Source organism: Homo sapiens, chromosome 9 (genome assembly GCF_000001405.40).
Source record: "Homo sapiens chromosome 9, GRCh38.p14 Primary Assembly".
NCBI lineage: Eukaryota > Metazoa > Chordata > Mammalia > Primates > Hominidae > Homo > Homo sapiens.
Genome location: NC_000009.12, coordinates 115671058 through 115690936, shown reverse-complemented (window position 1 = coordinate 115690936; position 19879 = coordinate 115671058). Strand labels below are relative to the sequence as shown.

General features: G+C 35.9%; 1 long non-coding RNA gene across 1 annotated transcript in view, besides 1 other annotated feature; it reads right to left on the bottom strand.

The window, feature by feature from the left end:
• Positions 17657-18856: an enhancer, noted in NCBI's record as "MED14-independent group 3 enhancer chr9:118434360-118435559 (GRCh37/hg19 assembly coordinates)". NCBI's record gives its function as "activates an origin of replication core promoter dependent on BRD2, BRD4, P300/CBP and CDK7 cofactors, and independent of MED14, by STARR-seq in HCT116 cells {active_cell/tissue: HCT116}" and the evidence as "EXISTENCE:reporter gene assay evidence [ECO:0000049][PMID:35650434]".
• Positions 18109-19879, bottom strand: part of LOC105376235 (uncharacterized) — a 76146-nt gene continuing 74375 nt past the window's right edge. The window contains exons 6-7 of the long non-coding RNA XR_930270.3: positions 18421-18500; positions 18109-18292 (exon numbers count right to left, since the gene is read on the bottom strand). This is a non-coding gene — a long non-coding RNA (uncharacterized LOC105376235). The remainder of the gene's footprint in view (positions 18293-18420; positions 18501-19879) is intronic.

Below are 19879 nucleotides of genomic sequence, written 5' to 3'. Positions count from 1 at the left end.
AATTGTTATAAATCATTCAGCTGGTGGAAATGACAGCTTCCTGTGTAGCAGGGACCATGACTATGACAGCTTCTTTTCAGATGGGGGAGTTGCTAGTACCATGATCTTGTGTCCAATAAAAATTTTTAACTCCATCTGTTTTTATATAAGTCCTCATCTTTCTCATTTGTTCAGTTATAGGTCTATCAATCCTGTACTGAGTGCCTACTATGTGTGAAGTAGTTTGGATACATAGATGAATAGTACATACAACAGAAATTGAGGAATCCACAGTAGCAGTGCCACAAACTGGAGGCTGTGTTTACCGGCATGAAATGAAATCTCCTAACAATTTCAGCTAGGACAATGTATTATCAAGAAAGGGTCAAACAGTGGTATATATGAGAAAAAATAGTTGGCTTATGAAAAAATAGCCTCTTTGCTTAAGTTTTTAATTTTTAATAATACTAAAATTAATAATAGAATTACTTTATATTCTGATACTGTTTCATAGTGCACAATGCACTTTCACTTAGCACAGTTAATCTTTATATCATCCCTGGGAATCCCACAGCAGAGCTATCTTGATTCTTACCAGAAATGGTCTTAGGATAATAATTCTCACCTGACCTCAACTATGTAAAAGGTAACATAAGTAAGAAACAGAAGAACAGGGGCTTAAACCCAAGATCTCTTGTTTCCATATCCACTCTTTATTCTACTTCATAGTCTACTAAAAACATTGTGTTTCTTTCTTGATAAAAATAAAGTCACAGGTTATTAAATGGAACTAATTATGGCACTCATGGCCTGTCCAAGTTAGTATCAATATTTTAAAAGTTTGATGATTACAAAATAAATGAAACTGACTTCTCTCAGGAGCACATACATTGGGTCAAACTAAGCTAAGTCCCATAGGTAGAAATCACCATAGGGACCTGCTATAATAAATAGATAAGAATAATCTGTAACTAGCATGTCATCTCTCTATGTATAAATTGTGTTTTAAATGTATTGAGGAAAAGTTTGCTCGCTTAAAGAGGTTAAATATTGCTGCCTGCCATCCTGTTTACACTGTTAATTTGCTTTCCAAATCCTTTTAGCTAGATAAAGCAAAGGTAAACTTCAGAATAGGCTCTGTACAAATTATCACCAATTGTAAATTAATGAGCTTTTTGCTTTATCTGAGTTGCAGAAAGACTAAACAAATGAGCTGGAATCATATATTTTCTTTCCATCTGAAGGGCTATATTCCCCCCTTTACCACTATTTCCTCTCTCAGGAAATTCAAGAGGTCCACTGATTTAATACATCCAATGTTTCAATATAAAATGGACAGCCAGGCCACCCTTTATCTTTTTTTGTTTCACCCAATTGGTGACTAAGCCTTACTTACTGGTTTAATCTAATTTTTCCCTTTCCAAACTTACATTCAACATAATCAAACACTAATGTAATTGTGTATGATGTCTTCCTTTCTTCACAATTCTATAACGAGGGGAAAAGGTTTTGTCAGTAGGAGTGGTATCATATGTAGTTTAACTAAAGGAGCAATGACTTATTGTACTCTCTCCCATTATGTGGCCCAGTTGAGGCTAATTAACTCCCATTTATATACTCTTTACCTCAATTCATACCAGGAGTTTGAACCTGCTCTTCCCAATTCATGAATTTTGTAATGGAGAACATTGGATCCAGACAAATCCTGATTTAATTTCAACTTTACACCCTCAGGCAAGTTACTTCCCTTTATTAAGACTACATCTTTCCATATGTAAAATGAGATTATCTGATGTGATTAAGATCTCTTCAAAATATTCAACATGTTTTACTTCCACTTTGCTAAATTTTTATCAAAGTAGTGTTCTCTAATTACCCACATCATCAGAACTACTCAAATATTGTTCATGCACTTCTTTAGAGCACTTTGGAAAATTTCAACAGAATTGGTTGTCTGGTAAACCCAAGGTCACAGGCATAGAAACCAGTTTATAGTATTCTCTTGCAAAATATCTAATGATATCCATAATGTGGAAAGCAAACAATAATTTTATGTCCAAAAATAGAATAAACTGTTCTACCTGGCAACCTTTGCCAGGAGAACAAATGCTTGCTTTTGAAATTTATCCTTCCCTACACCATGACCAGGCTGAATGTATATATTCATGACCTAGGCATTTTTCCTGCCACCTCCAAAAATTTGTTTTTTACCATTTATCATTTTGTCTGGATAATGTGCATGATGATTTCAAAACCTAGTAAAACCTATACATGTTTGATTTGTTCTTCTTTCTACAAATAAAACAAAACAAGAAAAAAGTGACAAAAAAGCAATACCTTACAGGTAGCTACATTTTATAAAACCTATTTACTCTCTTGTCTTATTCAACAATAACAGCCAAGCAAGCAAATAACAGAAGAAGTAAAGGAAGCCAAACAACATCAAAATTTAAAACCAACCAACTAGTCATGTGTGGTGCCTCATGCCTGTTGTCTCAGCACTTTGGGAAGCTGAGGTGCAAGGATCGCTTGAGGCCAGGAGTCTGAGACCAGCCTAAGCAACATAGCAAGACCCTGTCTCTACAAGAAAAAAATAAAAATAAAAATTAGCTAGGTGTACTGTGTACCTGTAGTCCCAGCTACTTAGGAGGCTAAAGCAAGATGATCTTTTGAGTCCAGGAGTTTGAGGCTACAGTGAGCTGGGATTGCAACCTCACTCCAGCCTGTGCAAGAGAGCAAGACCGTGTCTCAATAAACAAAAACAGAAATAAAACAAAAAAAACAAGTAACCAGTCACCACCACCGTCACCACCACCACCGTCACCACCACCACCATAACAACAACAGAAAATGCATGGTTTCAATCACCACCCATTTGTAGAGAACTTTTGATTCATAGACCCAGGCCAGATCTCTCCCCGCCTGAACTATAAACTTGTGTACTTCTTTTGCCCCCTTGACATTTCTATCTGCATATCTCACTGAAAATTTTATTTCTATATACATATCTAACTGAAAATGCTTAAAACTGAACAAATTTCTACACAAATTCTGTTCTATTATTCATGTTACCTTATTTCGGTGAATGACAAAAACAAGACAAAAATATGGGGATTATTTTCAACTCCCCTTTTTGCCACACCTTTTATAATGAATCACTTCCTAAGTCTTTATGATCTAACTTTTCAGAATTCTCAAATCTTTCTCCTTACTTTTATCTCCAATTGCAACATATATATTAGTGTGTGTATGTATGCGTACTACCATCATCCTTGCAGCTGACTTCTTAATGATGCTACTATTTGCTGATCAATGGATTTTCTATATGGCAGTTTCAAATGTGAGTGGGACTCTTTGCTCTTCTGCTTATGACTCCACAGGGTTCCAGTTGCCCTCCAGGTAAAGTCTAACTCACTAATATGGATTGCAAGTCTTGATGAGATCAGAACCCTGACGATTTTCTCGTTTCACTTTTACTCTGTTCACTGGCCTCCCCTTAATCTCTAATTCAGTATTCTCAATCCTGACTGCACCTTAAGATCATCTGGAGAAAAAAAAATGCTTCTCCACCCCTCACCCTCATACAAATGATGATTTAATTAGTCTGAGATAAGGTTATTAATCAGTAGTTCAAAAAAATTGCCACAGATGTTTCTACTATGCAACTACATCCAAACACACAAAGAGCTCTCTTGTCTCTAGCTTCTTTCTACTAAGAACCCTCTTTTTACCTGTTTTACTACTCCTGTCTGTGTCTCAGATAGAGACTTTATTCATTAAATATTGGCTACATGTGTTCAGACAGGCATTTAGGCAGGTTGGGTATGGAGAGAAATAACAAAGTGTGCTGAAAGAGAATAAAAAAGATCTGGATTTGAATCTTCATTCTGATAGATAGTAGATATGTTCAGAACATTACTGAAACACAGTAAACCTTGGGTTCATTATTTGTAAATTGCAGAGAATACTATCTACTGCACAGAGTTTCTTTGATAATTAAATTTGATAGCATATGTACATTTCAGAAAACAGGGACTACAGGAATACAACTTTAGTAAAGAACACTGGCTTTGGAACCATCTAACACTCATAATCAAGTTTTAAGTCATATGCTTAATAACAATATCACCTACTTTAAAAGTTGCTTAAACTCTCTTGGCCTTAGTATTTGTAACCTTAAATTAGGAATGATATTACCAAAGTTAAAGTTCATAACAAAAATTCAGATAGATATGGAGGACATTTGTAACACATAAAAATTCTCTTGATACTCTCTTCTGTGTATGCATTAGGCTTGAATAAAAAGTTTAAAGTCTGTATAAATTCTAGATATTATAATAATTATAATAGAATCCATTATTATTAACATTATTATTTTCTCATTTGTAAAATTTACTCCTTTTCATAACCTTGTTCATTTCCTGTAAGTACCTATAAAATATCAGTTACTTATTTTATGTAACACTTCCCACTATAATGGGAAGCCTTTCTTCAGCAACTAATGTTTTAACTTAGTGTTGGAACCTCCAAACAACTATGTGGATGATCAATGCTAGGCCCTGTATTGACTCTTTTTTGAAGGTTCTTCTTGTCTCATTTTATCTGACCACTCAGGCTGGAAACTGGAGACCCTTGCAATATTACTCTGATATTAATCCCATCTAGAAATCATGTTGAGTCATAAAATGCAAGTCATTCTTCAAATTACTCGATGTCAAAAGATTCTTCTATATTGGGTCTGATGTCACATGTGATGAAATTAGTTGGCTATATTTTCTGGATGTGAAGTCATACATTGATCATGCCCTTGACACATACTGAGTAGTCTCATTTTTCTGGATTTATAGTTTTTGGAAAATACAAATACATTCAATATTCCATATATCAAAATATGTGAAGAAAACTGGTGTTAATAACTTATACAGGGATTAATTTCTGTAAGTGTTCATCACAAAATAGCACTTCAAGATGGGGGGTTATTCATTAAATGGAAGGTATGCTTAGCCAATTTGTAAATGACAATTGTTTGAAAGATATAGAGGACATGGATAGCTCTCAGACTCAGTATGCAGATAAATAGGAAGAAAGTGGAGCAGAGATAAATTGTTTGTAACAGAAAAACACCTAGTAGAAATAAATTCAAATTCTTTCTTTTAAATGCAAAGAACTAATTCCACAAGAACTGTTTATGGAGTTGTCACTAAGCAGAATCACTGATGGAAAGGGATGTGATTAGTTGACATAAGCTCACCATATCAATTGTGCAGTCTGCCACAAAGAGAACAGGGATAGGTCTTTATTGTATCCTCTGCTGGCTTATTACATTATTTTATTTAATCCTCACAATAATGACGTGAAACTATCTTTAGTTGAACAACTGATGTCTTTAATAAAGAACAAGTTTTACAAGTTTACTAAATGGAAAAAACAGAAATAAAATCCAGATAAATGGGGTCTCTAAACATTTTTATTCTATTTGGTTTCCTCCTCCTGGTGTCTATATAAGTTCTGCTTCCACCAAGATAGACTAACACAAACAACTTACCTTTCCATCTAAAACAATAACACACACTCACACAAACAAAAAACAGACAAAATACTTGAAGCAACACATTTTAAGATACTGAACATTAGGCAAAAAGAACAGTGATCCCTGGAATATGACACAAATATGAAATAAGCCTTACAATTGCCTTCTGTTATTGTATTGAGAGGTTTTCCAGACCATAACACAAAGAGAATAAATATAGACAAAGTCCCAAGGAACTTTTTGAGTTTAGAAAATAGAATGGTAAGTCCAGGGAGGACAAGGCCTTTAGAATTCATGGGACAGCATACCAGGAAATAAAGAGCAGCACACAGAAATTCACAGATATCCAGAGGATCCCTCTCCAGTATTCAGTTGTCTACTGAACAATTCTTGCATGTAAGAAAAGTAGTGTAAAGTGGAGGAAAACAACCAAAAGAATTAGAAGAAACAGCATTCAGTACTCACTCAGGGTCAAGAAAAATGTATTTTCTCATCAACCAGACTAGAAAACCCCTAATTCATAAGGCAATGGGTGGAAAACACAGAAAGGCTGTGCCACAGTAATGAGGAGTAATTAGCTCTAGATTGAACATTGTTCTGGTCTCAACTAATAAATCTTAAAAGCAAGACATGAAAGTATTCACAACTAGTTTAACTTCATTATAAAACAAAGTTTAATAATATAAGTATATAAATATATCCAGCTCTCAACAAGGTAATATTTACAATGCTTAGCATCCACTCAAAAATTACCAGGCACACAATGAAAGAGAAAAATATGACTTATAATGAAAAATCAATCACCTGAATTCAACCCAGAACTGACACAGATGTTAGAAGTAGAAGGCAAATACATTAAAACAGTAAAAAGACATAATTAGACATAATTATGAAGACAGGGAAGTAACATCTTTAAAATAATAAAATTATAATTTTTAAAACTGCAGGCTGGGTGTGGTGGTTCATGCCTGTAATTCCAGCATTATAGGAGGTCAAGGCAGGTGAATTGCTTGAACCCAGGACTTCAAGACCAGAGACCAGCCTGGACAACACAGCAAGACCTCATCTCAAAAAAAAAAAAAAAAAAAAAAAAGAAAAGAAAAGAAAACCTCAAGACCTAGAATTTTATGCCCAGTTTAAACATCTGTGTAAAAGAAAACAAAGAATAAATAAATACGAATATCTTCAGACATACAAAAGTGAAATATTCACTTAATCAGACCTGAACTCAAAGAAATGTCAAAGAATTCCATCAAGCAGAAGAAAAATAACACTAGAATGAAATATAAATCAACACAAAGGAATAAAAAGCACTGGAAATGGAAGCTACATGGGTAAATATATGAGTTTTCTTAACATTTAAAACCCTTTAAAAGATAATTGTTTAAACAAAAACAAACATGTAGAGTAGTTTATATGACCATATAAAAGTGAAATATATACAAATAATAAAGTTCAGTAGGGGAAAAATGAAGTGATACAATATCAGTTGGAGGTAGGCTAATTAGTTAAAAATGCGTATTACACATCCTAAATAAACAACTAAAAGAACAACTAAAGAGTTATGATTAGTAAGCCAACAAAGAAATTCAAGTGGGATAATAAATACATTCAATTAACTCAAATAAAGACAGAAAAATAGGGGGCAAATATCAGATGTGACAAATAAAAAACAATGGTAATTTCATCAGCAAAGATAAATGTAAATCTAATAATGTCTGCAATTACTTTAAATATAAATGGTCTAGATAATTTAATTAAAAGCCAAAGATCATCAGACTGGATTAAAAAAAAGAGGACTGAACCATATGCACTGTTTTGGTAATATTTTAAATAAAAACAAGTTATCATTAAAAGGATATGAAAAGATATTCCTTGCTAACACTGATCAAAAGAAAGCTGAAGTGGCTAAATTAATATTATAATAAATAGATTTCAGAGTAAAGAATGTCGCAAGGGATAAAATAAGTTTGTTTCATAAAAAGATAAAATACATCAAGAAGATGTAACAATCCCAGACCTAAAAGCAGACCTTCAATATACATGAAGAAAAAAATCAACGGGACATCAGTGAAAGTGGACAAATTCATAACTATATTCAGAGGTATCAATACCCATCTTTCAATAAGTACTAGAAGTAGTAACAGAAAACAAAAAAGGATATAAAATATTTGAAAAAATTATCTAATTTGACTTAATTGGCTTTTATAGTATACTTCTTTCAAGAACAGGATAATAAACATTTTTTTTTTCATGTGTACGTATAACCTATACCTAAACTGTATTCTGGGCAATGAAATAAGTCTCAATAAGTTTCAATGGATACAGTTCATTCAAAGTATGTTCTCTAACCAAAGGGGAATTGAGTTAGAAATCAACAACAGAAAGATCTCTAGAAAATCCAAAAACATTTGGCAATGAAATAACACTACTAAATAACCATGAGACAAAAAGAAAATACATTTGCTTATGTATTTTCATAGCAAATTTGAGAACATTTTGAGATGAACAAAGATACAAACACAATATACCAAAATGTGTGAGTTGCTATTAAAGCAGTTCTTAGAAGAAAATTTATAGCACTAACACATACATTAGAAAAGAAGAAAGATCTCAATGAAATAACCTCAGATTTATCATTTAAATCTAGAAAAAGAAGCATAATTGAATCTAAAGTAAGTAGGAGAAAGAACATACTAAAAATCCACATGGAAACGAACAAATAAAAAAACAATAATAACAGAAATAAATTGGTGAATCCAATATTTATTTTTTTCTGGATATCAATAAAATTGATAAATAACTAGAAAAATTTATCGGTGGGGAAGAGAGGAAGAACTGGAGAGAGAGAGTGTGAGAACACAAATTATAAAAATCAGGAATGAAAAAATTGATGTCATTACAGAGTCTACAGATATTAAAAGGATAACAAAGAGATGTTATAGCAATGTTATGCCAATAAATTCAACACTCAAACGAAATGTGAAAATTCCTTGAAAAACAGAAAATGTCAAAGGCTCATTCAAGAAAGAACAAAGTAAATAGCCCTATATTTATTAAATAAAGTGAATTTGTAGTAAATATTCCACAAACAAAACCCTAGCACCCAATAGCTGTACTGGTAAATTATTTATGAAGAAATTAAACACCATTTACATAACTTCTTCCAGAAAATTGTAGAGGAGGTAATACTACCCAACTTATACTATGACCCCAGTATTCTTTTAACAAATCTAGATTAAAAATATTACAAAAAAACTACAGAACAATACTCTCAATGAATACAGATGCAAAATTTTGAATGAATGTTTATTAGATCAAATAGATAATATGTAACAAATATAATCCTTAGTTACTAAGTAGGTTTTATCCCAGGAAGGCAAGATTTGGTTAATATTTGAAAAAATAAAAATAAACTAATGTAATTATCCAAATTAACAGACTAAAAAATAAAAACATGATTATCTCAATAGATGCAGAAAATCATTGACGAAATCCAATATCCATTCCTAATAACAATTTTCAGCAAACAAGGGTACTTCCTTAATCTACAAAGGGCGTCTATTAAAACAAACAAAAACTGTAGCTAACATCATACTTAATGGTGAAAGACTGAATGATTTTTCCTAAGAGATCTGGAACAAAACATGTCTGTTCTCACTACTCATTTTTAATATTGTACTGGAGTTTTAGCCAAATAATGAGGCAAGAAAAAGAAAATAATGACTCCCAGTTTGGAAAGGAAGAAATAAACTACCATTATCTGCAGATGACATGAAAAATCTACTCCCCGAAAAGTAAAACATAACCTAAACTTAGTAAGTGAGTTTAGTAGGGTTGTAAGATGCAGAAGTAACTTTAAAACTAAATTTCATATTTATGTATTAGCAATACACAGTCAGAAATTCAAATTAAAGAAAAAATACCATTTACAATAGCATTGAACATATAAAATACCTATGGAAAAATATGGCAGAATATTTGTACAATGTTAATTGCATAACATTAATGAGAGAAATTAAGACCTAAATAAGTGTAGAAATATATCCTGTTGTGGGACAAAAACTCAATATTGTTAAGCCGTCAATTCAATTTCATATAGATCAATTTGATCTATAGATTTCATGGCATCTCAATTAAAACCATAGCCGGCATTTTAATATAAATATGATTTATTTAAATTCATATACAATTGACAAAGGGAAACTAAATTAATTTTCTTTGTCACAATAATTCAGTTTAGGGTATGGCATTTAACAGATATTTTCTTAATGATTTAATGTTTAAGTGAACAAAATGAGGAATAAGTTGAAACTTGCAGACAGAATTGGATTTATTAAAATAAATAACTTCTACACTGTCACAGTTACTGAAGTCAGGTTGGATTTCCTTGGAGAGTTCAAACTCATAACAGAGGAAACAAGTATTATACAATGTTAATAGTGGAATCTAAATGGTGTGTATATAGGAGTTCAGTTAATTTTTTTTTCAACTTTTATATATGTTTGAACATTTCCATAGCTTAATACTCAGATTTTCTGTGAGATTTCTCATCTACTCACTTTAAATTTTGGGGAGAATCCAATACCTTCTCCCATCTCCAACAGACTTATTTGAGGGAAAATACACAGTTGTTAAGGAATGATTAGATTTTTTTAATCTGTCTTTTATATGCAGATCTCTTTGGGAACTGTTTTCCACTCCTATCCACACTCCTGTTTAAAGAAGTGTCCCATGCCCATTTTCCTTATCTTCCCTACCTCCCTTGAAACAAAACAAAAACTAAGTAATTAGTATGTCAGGTATCGTGCTGAATATTTTAACACTGACTCATTTAATTTCTAATTTGGCATGAATATTGGGATTCTCCAGAGAAACAGTACCATTAAGATTAGGATATTTATTTATTCATTTATGTATTCACTTATTTTAAGGGATTAGCCTATATGATTATAGAGGCTGGCAAGTACCCAAATCTGCAGTTAGTCAGCAAACTGAAGACCCAGAAGAGCCAATGGCTTAGTTTCAGTTCAAGTCCAAAAGGCCTGAGAACCAGGAGAGCCTATGTTGTAGTTCTAATTCAAAGGCTGGCAGCTTCAAGACCCAGAGAAGTCCTATGTTTTAGGTTAAGTCCAAAGGCCAGAAAAAAAGCAGATGTCCAAGTTCAAAGACAATCAGGCAGGAAGAATTCTTTCTACTTGAGGAGAGTCAGCTTTTTTGTCCTATGTTAATCTTTATCTACTTAGATAAAGCCCAACCACATTAGAGAGAGCGACCTGCTTTGCTTAGTTTACTAATTTAAATGTTAATTTCATCTGAAAAACACATAGCTGGAGCATGGTGGCTCATGCCTGTATTCCAAGCAGTTTTAGAGGCTGACGCAGGACAATAGCTGGAGTTTAGAAGTTCAAGACCAGCCTGGGCAACATAGAGAGACCCTGTCTAGAAGAAGAAGGAGGAGGAGGAGGAAGGGGAGGAGGAGGAGAAGGAGGAGGAGGAGGAGGAAAGAGACGAGAAGGGGAAGGAGAGGAAGAGGAGGAGGAGAAGGAGAGGAAGAGGAAGGAGAAGGAGAAGAAAAAGAAATAATTAGCTGGGCATGGTGGTGCACACCTGCAGTCCCATCTGGGAGGCTGAGGTGGGAGAATCACTTGAGCCCAGGTGGTTAAGGCTGCAGCAACCTGTGATGGCAATGCTGCACTCCAGCATGGGCAGCAGAGTGAGACCCTGTCTCAAAAAAAAAAATAATAAAATTTTTAAAAAGACACATAATATTAACTTTCACATGTTCACCCTTTGCCAGCTTAGTGCAGATACACATCTCCCTAAACCATACTTCATCTTCAAATAAAAACAATAACAGGGCCATATGCCACATAACATAATACAACTATCCTGTGTGCAACTGAAAACACACTAATTCCTTCTCCAGAAAAGGAGATAAAGTACATGAATGATGTTTACTCTTCTTGATATATTGTAAGATAAATACTGTGATGTAAAGTTTAAAATATTTAAATACTATGATATAAAGCAAATAATCTTATGTTACATGATAAGGAGCTAAGGCAGGGAAGAAAACAAAGATATTTGCTTAACATGTATACACAAACATATTCATAACCAGACAAAGGAGGACATACTCATGACAATTACAATCCTTGTTGCTGTAGGGGTCACATGGTCCTAGGTGGCATTTATAATGACCTTATTCTATGTATTATGCATTCTTTCTGCATTCAGCAAGCACCTCAGCTGGTCATGGTTAACTACCTGATAGGGTGACCAAATCTTCATTCCTGAAGGGTCTGGTTTATTAGTAGTCCTTCCTTAATTGGGTGGCTATAATTTTCCATTGACTTTAATCACAGGACATGAAAATACCCAAACCCCCTAAGGGATCTCCTGTATTCCAGACATATGCTTCCTTACCTCCAGAGTAGACTAGTAGTCCAATTTCCCTTTAGGAGTCAGGATCAATCACCCAATTCAACACAGTAACTCTCTTTGCATATCAATTCAGAGGCATGAGGAGCCCAAAGTGGAAGTTAAGCAGTCTTAACTTCCACTTCAATTTAATCACTGTTGTGTCTTCTCATGGAAGCATTCCTCCCTCTGGAACTAAGACCGCCAGGCCAGCAGAATATAGCAGAGGATAAGATTGTGGTGACAGGAAACAAAATTTTGCTAGTGGGTCACTAGGGATAATGGTGAGATGAGCCACTCTCATTTCCACCACTTGATTCCTGGACCTGTGAAATCTAACTGTTGGAGAAATAACATCATTTATTAGATGCTGATTCAGAGCATATAGAGCCTTCTGTAGAACTTTGCCCCAGGCCTGCAAGGTATTTTCATTTAGCTGGCACTGCAACTGAGTCTTCAACAGGCCATTCCACAACTCTGTCAAGCCAGCAGCTTCTAGATGGTGGGGAACATAAGACCAGTAAATTCTGTGAGCATGGCCTCATTGCTGCACTTATTTTGCAGTGAGTTGAGTTCATTGATCGGAAGCAATGTTGTGTAAAATACCAAGACAGTAGATAAGGGACCCTGTAACTCCATGGACGGTATTTTTGGCAGAAGCATTGTATGCAGGGACAGCAGATTCATATGCAGATTTTGTCTATTGCAGTGAGAACAAAATACTGCCTTTTCCATGATAGAAGCAGTCCAATGTAATTAATTTGTGACCAGGTAGCTGTCTGACCACCTCACACATTTATTTCTCACAGTCATGATTCAAGTTGTGAGTTCTAAACTCCCAGGGTAGATGAGTTTGTCTTAAATGACAAATCCACCCTAACATACTGTGATGGTTAATACTGAGTGTCAACTTGATTAGATTTAAGGATACAAATTTTTGATCCTGGTGTGTCTGTGAGGCTGTTACCAAAGGAGATTAACATTTGAGTTAATGGGCTGGGAAAGGCAGACCTACCCTTAATCTGGGTGGGCACAATATAATCAGCTGCCATCATGGTTAGATTATAAAGCAGGTAGAAACGTGAAAAGAGAGACTGGCCTAGCCTCCTAATCTACATCTTTCTCCCATGCTGGATGCTTCCAGCCCTTGAACATTGGACTCCAGGTTCTTCAGTTTTGGAACTCAGACTGGCTCTCCTCAGCCTGCAGAAGGCCTATTGTGGAACTTTGTGATTGTGCGAGTTAATACTTAATAAACTCCCATATATATATAGAATACATATGTATATTGCATTACTTCTGTCCCTCTAGAGAACCCTGGCTAATATACATACTAATCCCCCTAAGCTTTTAAATTCCTTTCTCCACATTAAACCAAAGCAAGTACGTATTTCTGACTTGCTAATTATTGGTCACCTTTTGGTCCCTGTTTCAGCCAACCAACAAAACAAACTATTAGAACCCCTTTTAACTCCCTGAGCTGCAACATTGGTTAAGAATCACTGCTTAGTGAGCTTATATGAATAATTTAACTTGATCCAACTTTATGTTCCTTTCACCATTATCCCACACCATTAGTATCTGTTCCCACACATGTTCCCTGGATTTTTGTCTGTATAAATTAGAAAGCACAAAGTAGTTCTTTTGGAATATAGTGCACCTCCTTGTTTTACTCATGAGGATGTATACTTCACCTTTAGGCACCTTCTGGACTTTAGCTATAAGTCTAAAAGCAAAGAGGGATCATGGGGATGGGTCCTGAGGAGAACCATTAATCTTACAAGATAACTCTCTCAGGAGAAGCCATTAGAGTTTCTTCAGGCAATACATAGTAAATCCCCTCAAATGGGGATAGAAAAGATGCTTCCACTATGTCTGGAAAGTCTGCTTCCACTGGCAAAAATGATGCAGAATTTAGGGGCTCAATGTCTTAACCTTCATCAGGATCTTCCCACATATCTCCATTTCATCTTTCAGGAACCCCATTACTTCCTTTGCAATCAATGTCCACATTTTAACAGAAGGCAACCTGTGAGGTTGGCAGTTCAAACTTGTATTGTAATTCAGCCAGTTGCATGATAAAGATTTGGTTTTCCACAACCTCAGCCCTGAGCTACAGGAGATAGCAGTCTCCTTCAGGGCTCATATAGAAGCTATCAAGTCATTTACGTAGCACTTGAATTGGGACATTGAATCCTTGAGTTCATCTTTTTCTTTTCCTACTTAATTAAGCAACATTAGGAGCAACCAGCCAATCTCATTATACTTGTTAGTCAGACAGAAGTGTTTAAAAGTATCATATATAATCATGCAGATCCTTCCAAGATTCTTATATGCCATTGATCAGTAGTATGCAATGGTGAGATTTTGTGTATCTGTACTGTCAGACCATGCCACAGACCATCAGTACTTTTTCTACCACTGAAAATAGAATCATTAGCATATTTAAATCTAATCAGATTAGAGAGCAGATTTCATAAACCCCACAACCCATTCAGAAAACTCATCTTAAAATTCTGTTTCTCTTAAACAATAAACATAAGATGGCAGTCTAAAAATTGAAAAAAATTTGCAAACCATATATCTGACAAGGGGTTAATATACTGTATTTATGAAGAATTCATACAACTCAATAGTGGGAAAAACATAACCCAATTAAAATACAGACAAAAAACCTGAATAGACATTTCTCCAAAGAAGACTTAAAAATGGACAACAGGTATATAAAAAGGTGCTTAACATCATTAACCATCAAGAAAATACAAATCAAAACCACTATGGAATATCACCTCATACCCATTAAGAAGGCTATTGACAAAAAGTCAAAAGATAATAAATGTTAGAGACATTGTGAAGAAAAAGAACTCTCGTAATGCTGTCAGTGGAAATGTAGACTGGTGTCGCCAATGTGGAAAACAATATAGAAGTTTCTAAATAAACGAAAAATAGAATTCTCATATGACTCAGCAATATCTTTTCTGGGTATATACCCAAAGGAAATGAAATTACAATCTCATAAAGATATATGTACTCCCATGTTCATTGTATCATTATTCACAATAACTAAGATATAAAAACAACCTAAGTTCCTGTTGACTGGCAAATGGATAAAGAAACTGTACTACATGCATACAATGGACTGTTACTCAGCTTGAAATAATGAGAGCTTGCACTTTGCCACAACACGGTTGAGCTTGGAGAACATTATGCTAGGTGAAATAAACCAGACACAGAAAGAAATTTTTCACATTATCTCACTTATATGTGACATTTTAAAAAATTGTTTAAATATACAGAGACAGAGAACCAAACAGTGGTTACCAGGTGAGGTGGTGGGGGAAGAGGGAGGTGCAAGTCAAAGGATATGAAGAAGCAGATATGTAGGATGAACAAGTATACAGATCTAATGTGTAGGATGAGAACTATGGATAATAAAATTGTACTGCATATGGTATCAGGCTAAATGAATAGATTTTAGCTGCTCTTGCTACAAAAACAACAACCGAAAAAGAAAGGGCATTTTTTTTTTACTATCTATGCATATCCCATAACATCATGTTGTATGCCTTATAATAAATATGCACAGTAAGTATAAAAAAGAAAGAATATAATACATATATTGAGTTTATAGAAAGGGACTTCTAGAAGATTATTGAACCACTAGATGGAAGGGCCTTGGGTCCCTAAATGACTATCTGAAGCAGATCAGCATCACACTCCTCCCCCAGCATGCCACTGACTATGACATGTGAGATGAGTATGTCATGTCTTTTGGCTATGGCATTAGAAAGAGTAATAAACTGTTAAAATACATGTTTTTATTTTTTTATTTTTACTTTTTAAATTTATTTACCTGTCACCCAGGCTGGAGTACAGTGGTGTGATCTCGGCTCACTGCAACCTCTGCCTCCCAGGTTCAAGCAATTCTCCTGGCTCAACCTCCTGAGTAGCTGGGATTATAGGCACCCGCCACCATGTCTAGCTAATTTTTTGTATTTTTAGTAGAGATGGAGTTTTGCCATGTTGGCCAGGCTGGTCTTGAACTCCTGACCTCAGGTGATCCACCTGTCTCGGCCTCCCAAAGTGCTGGGATCCCCGGCCACAATATTGTTAATAGAAAACAAATATTCCTCTAGAACCACTCTCAGTGCCAAAATTTCTATTTGTCAGAATTCTCTAGAGAAGCAGAACCAATAATTATCATCTCTTGGTATCTGTTGGGGGTTGATTCTAGGACCCCTCCATCCTCGAGTATACCAAATCCCAGTAATGCTCAAGTCCCTTATATAAAATGGTGTGGTATCTGTATACAACCTACACATGTTCTCATGTATGCTTTAAATCATCTCTAAATTACTTATAATACCTAATGCAATGTAAATACTATGTAAATAGTTGTTATACTTTATTATTTAGGGAGTAATAAGAAAAGACAAAGTCAGTACATGTTCAGTGCAGATATTCTTTGTTTCAAATATTTTATCTGAAGTTGGTTGCCTCTATATACATACGGAGAGAGAGAGAGAGAGGAAAGAAAGGAAAGAAAGAAAGAAGGAGGGAAGGAAGGAAAGAAAGAGAAAGAAAGAAAGAAAGAAAAAGGAAGAAAGAAAGAAAGAAAGAAAGAGATATATTTATTATAAGGAATTGGCTCATGTGATTATGGGTACTTGAAAGTCCCAGGATCTACAGGGTGAGTCAGGAAGCTGGAGTGGAGACTGAGGAGAGCTGACGGTTTAGTTCCTGTCTGGACTGTCAGGCTTGAGACCTAAAAAGAGCAAATGTCCCAGTTCAAAGGTCATTAGGAAGAAAGACTTCTCTGTTACTTAGCCTTTTTGTTCTACTTGGACCTTCCATTGATTAGATGAGGCCCACCTACATTAGCAAGGGCAATCAATATTCTTTACTCAGCCTACCAATTTAAATGTAATCTCATTCCAAAACATCCTCACAGAAACAGAATAATGTTTGTGTAAATATTTGGGCACCATATGGCCCAGTCAAGTTGACACATAAAATTAACCATCATGGCACTACTAAATCTTGGAGAAGAAACTTCCACCATGGTGGAGCTAGGACTCTTTAAAGATGTAATATTTGAGCAAAAACTTGAATATTATGAAGGAATTGAAGGAATCATGAGATTCTTGGGTAAGAGCCTTTTCCTCAGTTACAGAGGGAAGACCAGAGCCAATGACCATGAGTCACAGCGGGTTACATGCTCTAGGAATAGGAAGGATGCTAAGATAGCTTGTGTGAGAATGAGTGTTGGAAGCAGTGATAATAAAGTTCATAGATATAGCCAGGTGTCAGATCATGCATGGCTTTGTAGGACATCAAAAGGCACATCGATTATATTCTATTTGTGACAAGTAAGGACTAGAAGAATTTGAGCCGGGAAAGGACATTCAGTGCTTTGAGAAAAAAACATAAGATTACGAGACAAGAATAAAAGTAGGAAGATCAATTGAGAGCCTGTTTGTATAATTCAGTTTCATTTTCTTGAAATTAGACTACAGAATGTATACTGGCGGGTTGCGGTAAGTGTCCCAATTTGAATGCTGCTCACTACATAGACAGCCCAACCTTTCATGTGTACCTTCCTTAAGAATTCTGGAGTAAAGTGTGGAAGCTGACATACATTAAGGTTATTGACCACCTCTGATCTCAGAGGGCAGATATTACTCTCAGGATTTCCTTTGCAGCATTAGAAGCTGCAGGCTCATTAGACTCCAAATATGTGAACCACCACCACATGTCAACTTTGATTTAAAGCAAAGGAGCTGGCATTGCTTGAAGGTGAGGTCACTGGAATCGGAGCCTTGATGAAGTTTCTCAGAAAGAAAACATTGTGCTGTGTTTGTGTCTCCCTCACATTCCTCTTTCCCCCTCGCCTCACTTCCCACCACATGTGGGTTGGCTGTTCCTAAGGCCCCAGGGATTGAAGGAAAGGCGTTGAGTTTGGAGCATATCAAAGAGTCTACACAAAACCAGGGAGAAGTCCCCCTCAACCTGGGCACAGTTTTCCAAGGAAAGATATTCTAATTTTGATGGGAGAAAGAGACTGGGAGAAGAAGCTACTTCAGCCTGTTACAGAAAACAACTCTTGGTGTGTGTTCATGGAATTCGCTACATAATAAGGAAGCTGATTCTCCAGCTGTGAGTCAGAGTCTGGCTGATGTAAAACGATGAAAGAAAAAGCCCCTAGAGGTTTACACACAGGCAAAATTTCCAGGATTGTGTCCCCATTAACAAAGGCTGGGACCAGGGAGTAAGGTTACCTGGGTTTCAAGATCAGTCCATTCACAGGGGTCATGCAAGACTGAGCTAGTTAATTTTCTCCTTTGGCTTCAGTGTCCTCTTCTGTAAAGTACGGGTAATAATGTTATTTCGTTTGCAGGGTTAATATGAGGAGGAGAAGACATAATGCATGGGAAAATGCTTTGTAAATTCCAAAGCTATTACCAGTATAAGTTTGTTTTACTTCATACCATTCAACTAATATTTATATTGAAAATCCCTTTGCTTCTATTCCTGTTCTAGGTCTGGAGATTGAACCACAGTCGAGTACCTAGTGGAGACAGAAAGTTAAAATCATGTTGTTTGTTTGTAAAAGTGGAAGTGTTGGTTGGGTGTGAACAGTTTGATTCCTTAGAAGTGAGTTGGAACTCACCTTAGAAGATAGTTATTCATTGTATATCCAAAATTCCTTTCTACTCCAGTCTTTGTCTCAGAAGATGCTATTATATGATACCCATCCAATTGCTCAAAACAAAAGCCTAGGAGTCTTTGTTGATTCTTTTATTTTTTTCTTTTTTTGAGACAGAGTCTTGCTCTCTTGCCCAGGTTGGAGTGCAGTGGCACGACCATGGCTCACTGCAGTCTCAAATTCCTGGGCCCAAGTGATCCTCCCACCTCAGTCTCCCAAGTAGCTAGGACCACAGGCATGCACCATCACCACACATGGCTAGCCCAGCCTTTTTTTTTTTTTTTTTTTTTTTTAGATAGAGGGGTCTCCCTCTGTTGCCCAGGTTGGACTCAAAGTCCTGCGCTCAAGCAATCTTACTGTCTCAGCTGCCCAAAGTATTGGGACTATAGGCATGAACCACTGTACCCTGCCAATTATTTTCTTTACTCCTTCCACATCCAGCCTATCAGAGAGTCCTATTTCCTCTGCCTGAAGAAAATATCTTGAAATCTCTCCTCCCCTGCCCATCTCTACTGCTGTCACTCTGATGCAAGGCCTTCTGTCACTGCTTACATGAAAGTTTCCAACTGCTTTCTCTGTCTCCAGTATTATCATCTATCCTACAGCAAACAGGTCTCTTAAAGATACCATACCATTTCTTCAAGAAGCTGAGGTAGGAGAATCACTTGAATCCCGGAGGCGGAGATTGCAGTGGTCGCACCACTGCACTCCAGCCTGGTGACATAGTGAGACTCCGTCTTAAAAAAAAAAAAAATGCCATACAATTTCCTGCTAACCCCTCTAACCGCCTAGATTTCAAACTCCTTAGCATGGCCACTCATGCCTTATGTCATCTGGCCTCTGTCTTCAAGCTAATTGCTCTCTCCAATGGTTTAGTCTACTATAAGTACACTGGCATTCTTGCTGTACTTCAAGAGAATGTTACTACTATCTTGGAGCATTTCACTGGCTGTTTCCTTTTCCTGAAAAGCTCTGATCCCAGATCATTGCCTCCTTCTCAGGTCTCAGCTCAAATGTCTTGACCTCAGAGAAGCTTCTGTCACCACCCAATATAACGACTGCCAGCCTAGTCACTTTCTGACTATGGTGCTTTTTGTTTCCTGTGCATTTATCATTATTTGCAATGATCTTGTTCAGTTGCTTACATCTTTGTTGTCCATGGTCACCTATCTCAGAAACTCTATGGGAACTGGCATCTTCTTTATCTATCTAGTTCAGTACTGTACCTGGCTGCCAATCTC